The sequence below is a fragment of the Homo sapiens genome, chromosome 14 (genome assembly GCF_000001405.40).
Source record: "Homo sapiens chromosome 14, GRCh38.p14 Primary Assembly".
Classification (NCBI taxonomy): Eukaryota; Metazoa; Chordata; class Mammalia; order Primates; family Hominidae; genus Homo; species Homo sapiens.
In genome coordinates this window covers 106023293-106035949 of record NC_000014.9, presented here as the reverse complement: position 1 = coordinate 106035949, position 12657 = coordinate 106023293, and the positions used below count along the sequence as shown (strand labels likewise).

Genomic DNA, 12657 nt, shown 5'->3' with positions numbered 1-12657 from the left:
ATAAACGAGAAGTAGAACAGCACACACCACACTTTTTCACTTATAAATGGGAGCTAAGTAATATGTGCACAGGGCCATAGAGAAAGGAATGATGGACATTGCAGACTCAGAAACATGGGAGAGCAGAAGTTGGGAGAATGGTGAGAAATTACTTAAAGGGTATGATGTACATTATTTGGATCATGGATACATTAAAGCCAAGACGACTATGCAATATATATATGTAACAAAATTGCAGTCACTCCCCGTAAATGTATACGTATAAAATAAAAACAAATACAATTGAAATGTGAAATTATTAACAGTTGATCAACAATCCTGAAAATTAAAACGTGTGATCAATAAATGAAAATAATTTTAGTTGAACTTCATCAAATTTTAAAACATTTTCTATTCAACCGACTATCAAGAAACTGAAGGACAAGCTTCAGGGGAGAAAGTATTTGCAAATCATACATCTAACAATGTAATTATAATAAGAACCCTCAAAACTCAACAGTAAAAAGAAGCAATCTGTTTATAAAATAGGCAAAGGTTTGTGCAAACTTTCTATCAAAGAAGATGTACAGATGACACATCAGCATATGAATGTAATTTTCCAGTAGAGAAATTCAAATCAAGACCAAAAGGAGACACGACTTTAGGCTTTAGAATGAGGAAAAATAAAGAAGAAATACTGACAGTACCAGTGTCAGTGAGCATGCCAGGCCCCGAGAGACTAAAATATTGCTAGTGCAAAATGAAAGAGTTTCTGGGAGAACTGTTTACAGTTTCTTATAAAATTAAACATGTCCTTAATCCATGACCTAGAACTCTCATCCCTGAGTATGTCCTACAAAGGATTAAAATCATGTGTTCACACACACACGTATTCAGATGTTTAACATTGTGTGTGTGTGTGTGTGGTGTGTGTGTGTGTGTGTTAGAAACTAAAAACAACATGAACATCTTTGAAAATTTGACACAAACCATTACAGGTGAACTCCAGACTTTCTTCTGAGTGACAGAAGGCCTGCCTGAAAGATCCCCAGAGACACAGTCATGGATTTCACTGTCACCCTCACATGTCACTGGCTTGGGCTGGGCTCTCTCTGGCTCTTCCCTGACCAGGACCAGATGTTGAGCTCCACTACCTGCAGTTGGAAGTTTATATTTTCAACAATGCACTGAGGGCTAAGTTGCTCTACAGACTGAACCAAACAAACATGGGCGCCTTTGAACAAACAGTGCCTGACATTTGTACCGACCCCAGGAGAACTCTTCCCGCTCTCTTTCTTCTTGGTTCTCTCCTGCAGGCCAGCAGCCCTGCAGTTTAGCCTGGACCTCTCATGCATCTACCCATCTCCTCCCAAGTGCATTTTACCACAGCCTCCACTGTTTTTGTAATTCTCCACACTCTGTTGTAAATGAAGTCAGGTCCTTCGAGACCAGATTCGGGACTCTATTTTATGACCAAATTTCAGCCTCACCCCCACTCCTGAGACAGAGCTCCTAAATAAGATTCTGCAGGTGGAGATTAAGAGCGTTTTTCTTCCTCAATGTAGGAGATGAGTGCTCAGTGGAGGGATGGGGAGGAGCTTTCCACTTTACCAGCATGCAGATCCTGCTGGGGTGGACCCTCTGCCATAGGAGCAGGGCTGGGAACCAGGCAGCCAATGTCCTCCTCCTTGGTGCTGCACTCAGGGCAGAGCCTGCATCCATGAGTGGGGCTGTGTGGAAGAAGTGAGTCTCTGGTTCTCAGTAAGTCTTGTCTAGAACTGAGCCTCAGCAGCATGACCTGTGGGCAAGGTCGGAGGGCCAATGTCCTGGCCCCTGGGGAAGAGTGTGCTCTGCTGGGAGCTGGGCAGAAGGAATCCTGTCTACTTGGCTGCAGCCATCTGTGGTGGAATTTACATCATGCTGAGCTCGGGCATAGAAGGAAGGAAGAGAATCTTTGATCAAATATCAATATCATGTCTGACCTTACTGAGGTTTTGTAGATTATCTCGAATAAATGTTCCTTCACTTTCTGTATGTTGACAGGGCCTTTCCAGACCCGTTAATTTTTCAAAATTAATCTCACCAGTTTCATGGAGGCATGGATATATCGAGCTCCTTGTACCGTCATGTGAGATGTGGAACTGTTTCCTTCACTGGTTATAAAATAATGGGTTGACTTTTTTCCCAACACTTTACAGATACCATCAATTGTCCTATTGCTTATATGGTTATAACCAAAGCAATGCTGATATTATTCATTTCTATTCTATTGCAAGGTATGCCCCCTCTACTCGTCTCCAATTGCTGGCATGTATTTCCATTTGTCTGTATGTTTTAGTAATTTGAATATGATTCACCTAAGAGTGTTTGTGTGTGTGTGGGTATGTGTGTGTCGTGTGTGTGTGTGTTAAGGGCTTATCCTGCTATTTGGTGTTCTCTGACCTGCACTGATCCATGACTTACAATTTCTCTAATTTGGAGGAAAAAATAGAGGGAAAGTGAGTTTGAGTCCAGACACAAACCTCACTGAAGTGAGCACAGGATTCTAACCCCAGGGGTGCTCAGGACACGCTGATCACAAGAGCCAGCCTCAGGGGCAGGTGCAGATGGAGGCTGAGCTCTTCTTTCCCGTCAGCACTGTGGCTTCTTCTCCATAAAACATCTTCCCTTGAGGAATTTATCTGAATTCATGATTTTTTGCTTATCTCCAAAGTCTCTGAAATGAAAATGTTTGTTTTAATAAAAGAAAAATCTTCTCACATGTGTAAAAGACAGTTTCCTACAGTCGCTTAATCTTGTCTTTAAATGTCAATTATCAATGCTTCTGAAGTAAATCAGCTAAATCTATAAAAGACACTTTGTTTAACTCAACACTGCAGCCCAGCATGACAGCACTGAAAGGGCCAGCAAGCAGCAGGCAGGATACGGTGCATGCCAGACACTGGGGCGGAAGGAGTTAGTATCCAGTGCAAGAGAAGAAAGTGCCCGCGGTGGTCACTGTCAGGACCCAAGCTCACAGCTCCAATTGCAGGTGACCCCATGCAAAGGAAAAGATACCCTCACCAATGTTTAGTGTGGATGTCGAGTCTGATGGTGCCACATTCACACACCACGTGAATATGGAAAGATTTACCAACTCCATTATTGAGGCGTCTGCTGAGGGCTGCACAGGCCTCTCAATAAAGTCCAAACTGGCTCAATAGAGCAGGAAAGAAGCTGCCTCAGGGTTTTTATGATGGTTTGGTGTTGAAGGAATGGTGGGGCTTCCTACTAAGGGGAAGGAGCTTGTATAATTTGAACCTAATACTGGCATCCAGTGAGGACACTTCCATGATTTTCTACTAAATTTCCCATGTGTGGGGGACAAAAGTGAAGGAAAAGGATTAATCCTGTCATCAGTAATGAGGCATCAAAATAGAGTCTGATGACTTATTCTACTTAGCAACTTAAGCAAATGAGTGAAAAATGAGGTAAGTGTTCACTCTGGGTGGACAGCAAATAGGTCTGCAGAAAATAGAGTTTTTTTAAGTGTAAGCACATAACAAAAAGAAAGAGAAGAACAAATTGAACAGGGATCTTGGACCAATGTCCTGGGTGGAAGCTCTTCACTCTGTGAGATCATCAGCTTGCTCTGAGGGTCTCGGGTCAAGTCCTTCTTCAATATATCTCAGGCCTTACAGGATACATGGGAATGCTCAGCTTGGTGTCCTTCACTAGGGAAAAGAAAGAGAAATCAGACTGTCACTGTGTCTATATAGAAAGGGAAGACATAAGAGACTCCATTTTGAAAAAGACCTGTACTTTAAACAATTGCTTTGCTGAGATGTTGTTAATTTGTAGCTTTGCCCCAGCCATTTTGACCCAGCCACTTTGAGCCAACCTGGAGCTCACAAAAACATGTGTTGTATAAAATCAAGGTTTAAGGGATCTAGGGCTGTGCAGGACGTGCCTTGTTAACAAAATGTTTACAAGCAGTATACTTGATAAAGGTCATCCGCATTGTCTACTCTCAATAAACCAGGGGCACAGTGCACTGTGGAAAGCCGCAGGGACCTCTGCCCTTGAAGGCGGGGTATTGTCCAAGGTTTCTTCCCATGTGATAGTCTGAGATATGGCCTCGTGGGATGAGAAAGACCTGACCGTCCCCCAGCCTGACTCCCGTAAAGGGTCTGTGCTGAGGAGGGTTAGTAAAAGAGGAAAGCCTCTTGCAGTTGAGTTAGAGGAAGGCCACTGTCTTCTGCCTGCCCCTGGGAACTGAATGTCTTGGTATAAAACCCGATTGCACTTTTGTTCAATTTTGAGATAGGAGAAAAACCGCCTTATGGTGGGAGGCGAGACATATTTGCAGTAATGCTGCCTTGTTATTCTTTATGCCGCTGAGATGTTTGGGCGGAGAGAAACATAAATCTGGCCTACATGCATGTCCAGGCATAGTACCTTCCCTTGAACTTAATTACGACATAGATTCTTTTGCTCACATGTTTTTTGCTGACCTTCTCCCCACTATCACCCTACTCTCCTACTACATTCCTTTTTGCTGAAATAATGAAAATAATAATCAATAAAAACTGAGGGACCTCAGAGGCCGGTGCCAGTGCAGGTCCTTGGTATGCTGAGTGCCGGTTCCCTGGGCCCACTGTTGTTTCTCTATACTTTGTTTCTGTGTCTTATTTCTTTTCTCAGTCTCTCATCCCACCTGACGAGGAATACCCACAGGTGTGGAGGGGCAGGTCTCCCCTTCGTACTTGAGCAGCCTTACAACTGGGTGGGTTTATGAATTAATTCCTCGGTTGCATTACATGAAAAATCACACAATCTACAAATTTTAAAAAATAAGCCTTTACTTTTTATAAAAGATTACAGCCATTTCACAGGCTGGGAAGCACAGCCATTGGTGAAGACGAGAGACAGGCACTCCCAAGGAGGAGCGGTGGGGCAGAAACTTTATGCTGAACGTGTTGGCTAAACAGACATAATCAACGGATTACAGGAGGGGCTATGCGTGTTCATAAAGGTGGTCATGACACATGAATATGGGAGCAAACATACACGTCACATGTGACCCACTTAGCAGTGGGGACTTAGCATTTAAATGTGTTACAGTTAGGCCCTAAGTGCCAAAAGCTGGAGCAGGGGCACAAAGACCCTCAGAGCGCAGCCTCCATAAATGGCCAGAACCAGGCCTTGGTCAGTGGTCTCTGATCAGGAGAAAATTCCTGAAATCAATCTGGTGTCCCATCCAAGCTGGGGTTATGGCTGTGGAATGGGGGGTCAGTTAGTCAGAGGATGAGCTGCAGTTGGTTAAATCGTGCTTATCTCAGGATCAGTGCTTATTTTGCTGCTACAGAAGAAAATAACAGTTTATATTCTTTAAGAGTTGGGGTGAGGGATGTAACCCCTGCCTGGCATGGCCTTAGGTCTTGTTTATAACGGGGCATCTTATTGCCCCAGAGAATCTGTTCTGTCAGTCTTATGATCTCCATTTTAATGTTAGTGTTGGTCCATGTTGTCTCTGAACCACAAAAGGGAGTGGGTATAATGAGGTGTGTCTGATCTCTTGTTCTGCCCAGCTGGGAACTCAGTTTTTAGGTGTTTTTGGTGCCTCCTTGGCCAAGAGGGGGAACCACTCAATCTCATGGGGTGACTGCAATTTTACTTTTAGTTTAAAGTTTATAAATATGGACCTAAGTATTGACATTCTAAAAGTCACTCCTTTGTTTTGGCTAAAAGTACTTGGCAAGAGTCCTTGAAATGAGGTTCAAGAGCAGTATTTTCTCATGACTTTATTTGCAATAGACACATGAGAGACTGTTGAAAAGATGAAGTACCAAAGTAGCCTTAATCTGTTGGTGAATGGAGTTGGTATAATACAGAAATCACTTTCAATATTTTGTAACACATGCATGCGTGCAATAAGACAGCGGTGAGCACTGAGTGTAAAGTCTCTAAAGGTACGATCTTTCAGCCACCAAATAATAGTGTAATAACGGACATACTCTGGAGGAGCTGACTATAATACCGTAACACCACGGGGAGAAACTTTGGCCAAGGAAGTCCAAGATTTTCTTTTCCTTTTCCTTTTTTTTTTTTTTTTTGTTGTTGTTGTTTGAGACAGAGTCTCACTCTGTTGCCCAGGCTAGAGTGCGGTGGTGCGATCTCGACTCACTGTGACCTCTGTCTCCCTGATTCAAGCGATTCCTGTCTCGGCCTCCCAAAAGCTGATATTACAGGCATGTGCCACCACACCCAGCTAAGTTTTTCATATTTTTAGTAGAGACGGGGTTTTGCCATGCTGGCCAGGATGATCTCGCACTCCTGACCTCAAGTGGTCCTCCTGCCTTGGCCTCCCGAAGTGCTGGTATTACAGCGTGAGCCACCACACCCAGCCGAGATTTTCTTAAAGTTTTGAAGATTTTAATTTAAGGGTTACAATTTTTTCAACATTTCCAGAAAGCTGTAGACAGTATTATTCTGTGTTATATGAGTGATTGTAGTTCCTTCCATTTTTAGATAGTATTACAAACAATTTTAGGGCTGCTTGCTTTAAATAGATAGATGATAGATGGCTACATACATACATACATACATACGTACCTCGATAGAGATATAGTTGCAAACATAAATACATAGATAGATAGAGTTACAGATGTATTTTAGTTATTATGCTACTTTTTTCTTTGCCTTTTCTTCCTATGTTATGTTAGTCAGGTCTCCAGGACTTAGGAGTGCATTTACAATCCCTTCCCTTGTCCATTTTGACGTGTTCTAGACAATGCGAGAATCCTTTTGTGTGTGGATCACTTCCAAGTCATGTACTACCCTTGCAATAAATGTGTTTGTGTATGTCTTTGCCTTACTGACAAGCTCTGCTGAGTGCAGTTATTTCTGCCGTCTGAGCTAACTTTACACTTGGTAGAGAAATATATTCTAGATGGAGGCTTCCACTATTAATTTAAATTACTAATTCATAACCTCCAGCTTAATTATTGAGGTATAATCTATCAGAGATGGTATTAGAACAAAGGTTTCCAATGAAATCTAACATAAGGGATGTGAACAAATTTTCCTAATTTAGGTAAAATAACCCTGAGCCCATTCTTAGTATCCAGCCATGTCTCCTATCTATCACACTGAATCTCACACTAACTTTGACCTGACTTGGGACTTGTAAGCTTCAAATATGACCTTTTGATTGCAATGCCTCTAATTCAGGACGTGTGGTTATTTTAGCCAAGAGTAAAGAAAACCAAATTTAACTCACTAAAAATGACGAAGATTAAAACCTAATGAAATGGAAACTGGGATATGAGTGGCTCCAGACTTGGCTATTTTAAGAGTCTATGTGCCCAGGTGATTTCTTTTCTCCGTTTTACACACAGGCAAACCCAAAATGTCAGCTTCATCTCCCGTTGACTCTCATCATCTCGTTCTTCATCAGCTTGCTTAGAATGTTGACTTCCAGCTGCATCCATGTTGCCACAAAAGACATGATTTTATTCTTTTTCTGTGAATGCATAGTGTTCCATGGTATACATGTACCATATTTTCTTGATCAAATTCACCATGAAAGGACACATAGGTTGGATTTATGTCTTAGGTATTAAGAGTAGCATAGCAATGAACATGTAAGTGGGTGTATTTTTTGGTAGACTGATTTATTTTCTTTTGTGCATATACCCACATATGAGATGGCCGGGCCAAGTGGCAGCTCTGCTTCAAATACTTTTCAAATCTCCAGACTGCTTTCCACAGTGCTTGGACTAATTCACATTCCACCCAACACTGTACAAGTGTTTCCTGTTCTCTGCAGCCTCGCTCCAGACTGCTTTCCACAGTGCTTGGACTAATTCACATTCCACCCAACACTGTACAAGTGTTTCCTGTTCTTCGCACCCTCTCTCCAGACTGCTTTCCAAGATTCCTCTCCTCCACTTTGACACTTTGGTATATCCATGTGTGTCCTCTCTGGTTCAGCCAGGGACAGAGAACCAGGAAGACATCATGCATTTTCTAGAGGGAGCTGGCTTGGGGAATCAACGACCGGAGTAGAAAGTGCCTCTGTCCATGCATCACAGGCCTGAGGGCCCTGGGCAGGAGGTCAGGAAGAGAGGATGACCAGACAGCTGGGGAAACTGGGATGAACAAAGCCAGTTTCCTTCCTGGTGAGGAGGGACAGGTCGAAGCCTCGTGTCCCTGTAGGGATGAAGCACACTCACCTGCCCACTGCTACCTGCAAATCAGGTGACCTTCAGAGCAGCAGCTCCTGAGTCACTGATGGTGACTTCCTCCTCCTCCAAACCCTCTAGGATCTGTGCTTCTCAGAGTGGGAACCCCCGCAGGTCCCCAAGTTTTCAATGGATTCACCTAGCTAGTGTCTCTCCTCAGCCCCATCCCCAGGCTGCTGCCCTGGTGCTGTGTACACTGTCACAACAGGGGTGACAGTAACAGCTGGTGCCTGCACTTTCCAGGCCAAGAAGTTTGAAAGAAGCAAGTCACAGGGCCAGCCGGGATATGGGGTAATCACACAAATTTCCTTCTTGGGGGAAGTGCTGGGAAACATCCTTGAGTCCTCCTCAGCTCACATGCGGCTGCTGCTGTTCATCCCAGTGTGGGGACACATGAGCCCTCCCCATGCCCAGGATGGAGCTGTTTCAATCACAGCAGGATGGGAATGTGTCTTCTCTATGGGGGCTTTCGGAGCACAGCTCTCCTGTTCCTGAGATTTGAGATTTATAAAGACAAGTCCCACAGAGTGGACTTGCACAAATAAGACAGTACAGGATCCCCAGGAGAGACATCCCATATGAGAAGGGACAGGCAGGTCCCATCACTGACGCTGGTCCTCAGAAACCCTGACCAGCTACTGACCTTCCCAGGTCCCCTGTTCCTGATCAGTGCCTGTGTCTGCTCCTGAGAAGATCCCCATCAACAGTCCCCAGGGTTCTGCCCCCTTCCTTGATGTGCCTCTGGGAGTGGGGCTGGCTGGGCTGTGGGTCTGCTGTGACTTTCCCCACAGGTCAGCGGCTCAGTGCAGGCTGCACCGACTCGGTGGGGCTGGGCTGTGTCTGACTCTCCCGGGGGAGCCTGAATGCTTCTCAGAGGCATTTGCAGGATCCCAGGTCCTGGGAGAACAGGGAAGCAACAGTGTGTGCAGGGCCCCGTCTCCAGGTGTAAGGTGTTTGCTGTTGCTCTACTTGACAAGGGCATATCCCCAGGCCTAGGGGCACTGTGGGTGCACAACCAATGTGCTAGACACAGGGAGTAAGGCACAGTTCCCTCCCATTACTGTGGGGAATCTAGGCACTGTGTGTGTGTGTGTGTATGTGTGTATGTAGATTAGGAGTTGTGGAGTGGGCAGGTTTAGAAATTATCTGATGAGATGTTCATCCAAAGGAACTGACAAGAGATTAGGTGTTTTCCCAAAGTCCCTGGGAGTTCCTGGACTCACTATGAGTGTGGACTGATCCAGTGCTTCCGGAGCTCCAGGGAAGGGGCTCCCTGGTGGTTTCATAGAATCCTTGCTTGGGGTGTTTCTGCAGAGTTCACTGGCTTTCCTACGGCCAATTTACTATTGTAAGAGATGGTGTCAGCAGTACATGGTGTCACGTGTCACTAAAGGAGCATTCCGAGCCAGGACACAGCCACTTCATACTTGGGGGAAAATGCTCTGGGAGCCCAGACAGGAGCCTCTCTGCAGTGCAAGGGCTGGGCTGCAGGGGACGCTCAAAGCCCACCCAGTACAAGTTTCAGCCCCAGAGCAGGTGCACAGGAGGCTGGGGAGGGATTCCTCTCGAGATCTGTGTCATTCTTTAAAAAATCTAAAATACATATTTGACAACTGAACATTCTATAAATATCCTATTCAATTGCGAGCATTTATCAAACTTGATGTTGTAATGAGAACCACTTTTACACTGGAGATTTCTAACCCTTCTAGATATCTTAATAGTATGCAGCTGGAGGTTAAGGAAACTACTTTTCTTTTCTATAAATAAGTGAAACTTTTGGAGAAACACACTCATCCCCCAAATAATACATTCATGTATTAAAGCCTAGAAATGCTTATATTACCTCTGAGCCATTTGAGTGTGGGTTCCCAGTGAAGTCCTGTTCTAGGGAAAATTGTTAGCCAATGGGAGAAGCTCTGTCAACATAGAGCTTAGGGATATGGCAGGGCTCACATGGCCTCTAAGGGGATTACAGCTTGAACCTTGAGCATCCTCCGTGTGTCATCTCTCTGCTCTTTCTCATGCAATATCAGGTATGAAATAGGATCACTCATGAATATGCAAATAACTGAGGTAAATATAGCTATCTTTGGGCCCTGAGAGCATCACCCAACAACCACACCCCTCCTAAGAAGAAGCCCCTAGACCACAGCTCCACACCATGGACTGGACCTGGAGGATCCTCTTCTTGGTGGCAGCAGCAACAGGTAAGGGGCTCCCCAGTCACTGGGCTGAGGGAGAAACCAGCACAGTCAAGTGAGACTTCATGCACTCCCATCTCCTCTCCACAGGTGCCCACTCCCAGGTGCAGCTGGTGCAATCTGGGTCTGAGTTGAAGAAGCCTGGGGCCTCAGTGAAGGTTTCCTGCAAGGCTTCTGGATACACCTTCACTAGCTATGCTATGAATTGGGTGCGACAGGCCCCTGGACAAGGGCTTGAGTGGATGGGATGGATCAACACCAACACTGGGAACCCAACGTATGCCCAGGGCTTCACAGGACGGTTTGTCTTCTCCTTGGACACCTCTGTCAGCACGGCATATCTGCAGATCTGCAGCCTAAAGGCTGAGGACACTGCCGTGTATTACTGTGCGAGAGACACAGTGTGGAAACCCACATCCTGAGAGTGTCAAAAACCCTGTGGGAGGAGGCAGCTGTGCTGAGCTGAGGCAGTGACAGGGACAACGTGGCTGCACCCTTTGTAGGGTTATAAACATACATATATATGCACCCAACAGTGGAGTACCCAGATATATCAAGCAAACATTATTAGAGCTAAACAGAGAGATAGACCCAATACAGTAAAAGCTGGAGACTTTAACACCCCACCCTCAGCATTGGACAGATCTTCCAGACAGAAAATTAACAATGAAATCTTAGACTAAATGTACATGACAGACCAAATGGACATAATGGATATTGACAGAACACTTCATCCAATGGCTGTAGAGTGCACAGTCTTTTCCTAAACATATGGATCAGTCTCAAGGATAGACCATATAGTAGACCAGAAAATTAGTCATTTTTTAATTGAGAAGATATCAAGTACCTTCTCTGATCATAATGGAAGAAAACTAAATTAATAAGAGGAATCTTGGAAAACTATGCAAACACATGGAAATTAAACAATATGCTCCCTAATTAAACAATGTGCTCCCAAATTGAACCACATGCTCCAAAATGGGTTAATAAAGACATAAAAAATTTTAAAATTTATTGAAAGAAATGATAAAGAAGACAAAGCATATGAAAACCTATGAAATACAGTGAAAGCAGTATTAAGAGGAAAGTTTATAGCTATAAGCACTTACTTTAAAAAAGTAGACAACCATAAAATAAACATCCTAGGAATGTCTTTTAAAAAATAGAAAAGCAAGAGCAAATCAAACCCAAACACAGTAAAAAAAAAAAAAGGAAAGATCAAAACGTTAATACATAAAATTGAAATAAAGAAAACAATACAAAAGATGGATCAAATGAAAAGCTGTTTTTTAAAAAGATAAAAGACATCTACAAACCTTTAACCAGACTAAGAAAAAAAGAAAGAAGACCAAAGTAAATGAAATCAGAGAGAAAAATGGAAATATTACAACCAATGGTGCAGAAAATCAAAGAATCATTAGAGGCTAGCAGGAACAACTAAATGCCAATAAATTGAAATATCTGGAAGAAATGGATAGATTTAGAGACACATACAACTTTGATTGAACGAGGAAGAAATTGAAAACCTGAACAGATCAGTAACAAGTAGTGAGAATGAAGCCGTAATAAAAGGTCTCCCAGCAAATAAAATCTCGGGACTTGATGACTTCATTGCTCAATTATGACAAATATTTAAAGAAGAGATAATACCTAACCCCACTCAAAATATTCCAAAAACAGATAAAGAGGGGAGGAATTCTTCCAAATCTCCTGTACGAGGCCAGCATTACCCTTATACAAAAACCAGACAAAGACACACCTAAAAAAAAAGAAAACTATAGGTCAATATCACTGATGAATATGGACGCAAAACTCCTCAAGGAAATCTTAGCAAACCAAATTCAATAACATAACAAAAGAACCATTCATCATGACCAAGTGCAGTTTATCCCAGGGATGCAAGGATGGTTCAACCTATGCAAATCAATCAATGTGACACATCATGTCAACAGAATGAAGGGCAGAAGACATAAGATCAGGCCTTACCTTGTTCTCCTCACTCAAAGTCTACCATCAGTGCTTTAGTCCTCTTGGTCAGTCCTGCTGTACTTGGTCTCCCATGATTCTGTTCCCAGGTCCTGAAACACTGGGCTCCTGCACACCTGGAGTCTCTCTCCTCTTTGAACATGGAGATCCTGTATGCTCAGAGAGGGGTGATGACTCATGTGGCTCCCATGCCCCATGCAAACAATTCTTCCAAAACAGTTGTGACTTTTCCTGTTGGAAATTGAAAGGGGATGTGGGAATCT

The 12657-nt window shown here is 43.7% G+C and overlaps 1 gene segment (V, D, J or C) and 1 further gene; both read left to right on the top strand.

The window, feature by feature from the left end:
• The window catches only part of IGH (immunoglobulin heavy locus), a 1293408-nt gene that overhangs the window by 843895 nt on the left and 436856 nt on the right, over positions 1–12657 (top strand).
• IGHV7-4-1 (immunoglobulin heavy variable 7-4-1) lies at positions 10369–10805 on the top strand. The segment is given in 2 exon segments: positions 10369–10414; positions 10499–10805. Coding segments are annotated over 2 exon segments (353 nt in total), but the record flags the coding sequence as incomplete, so codon positions are not given.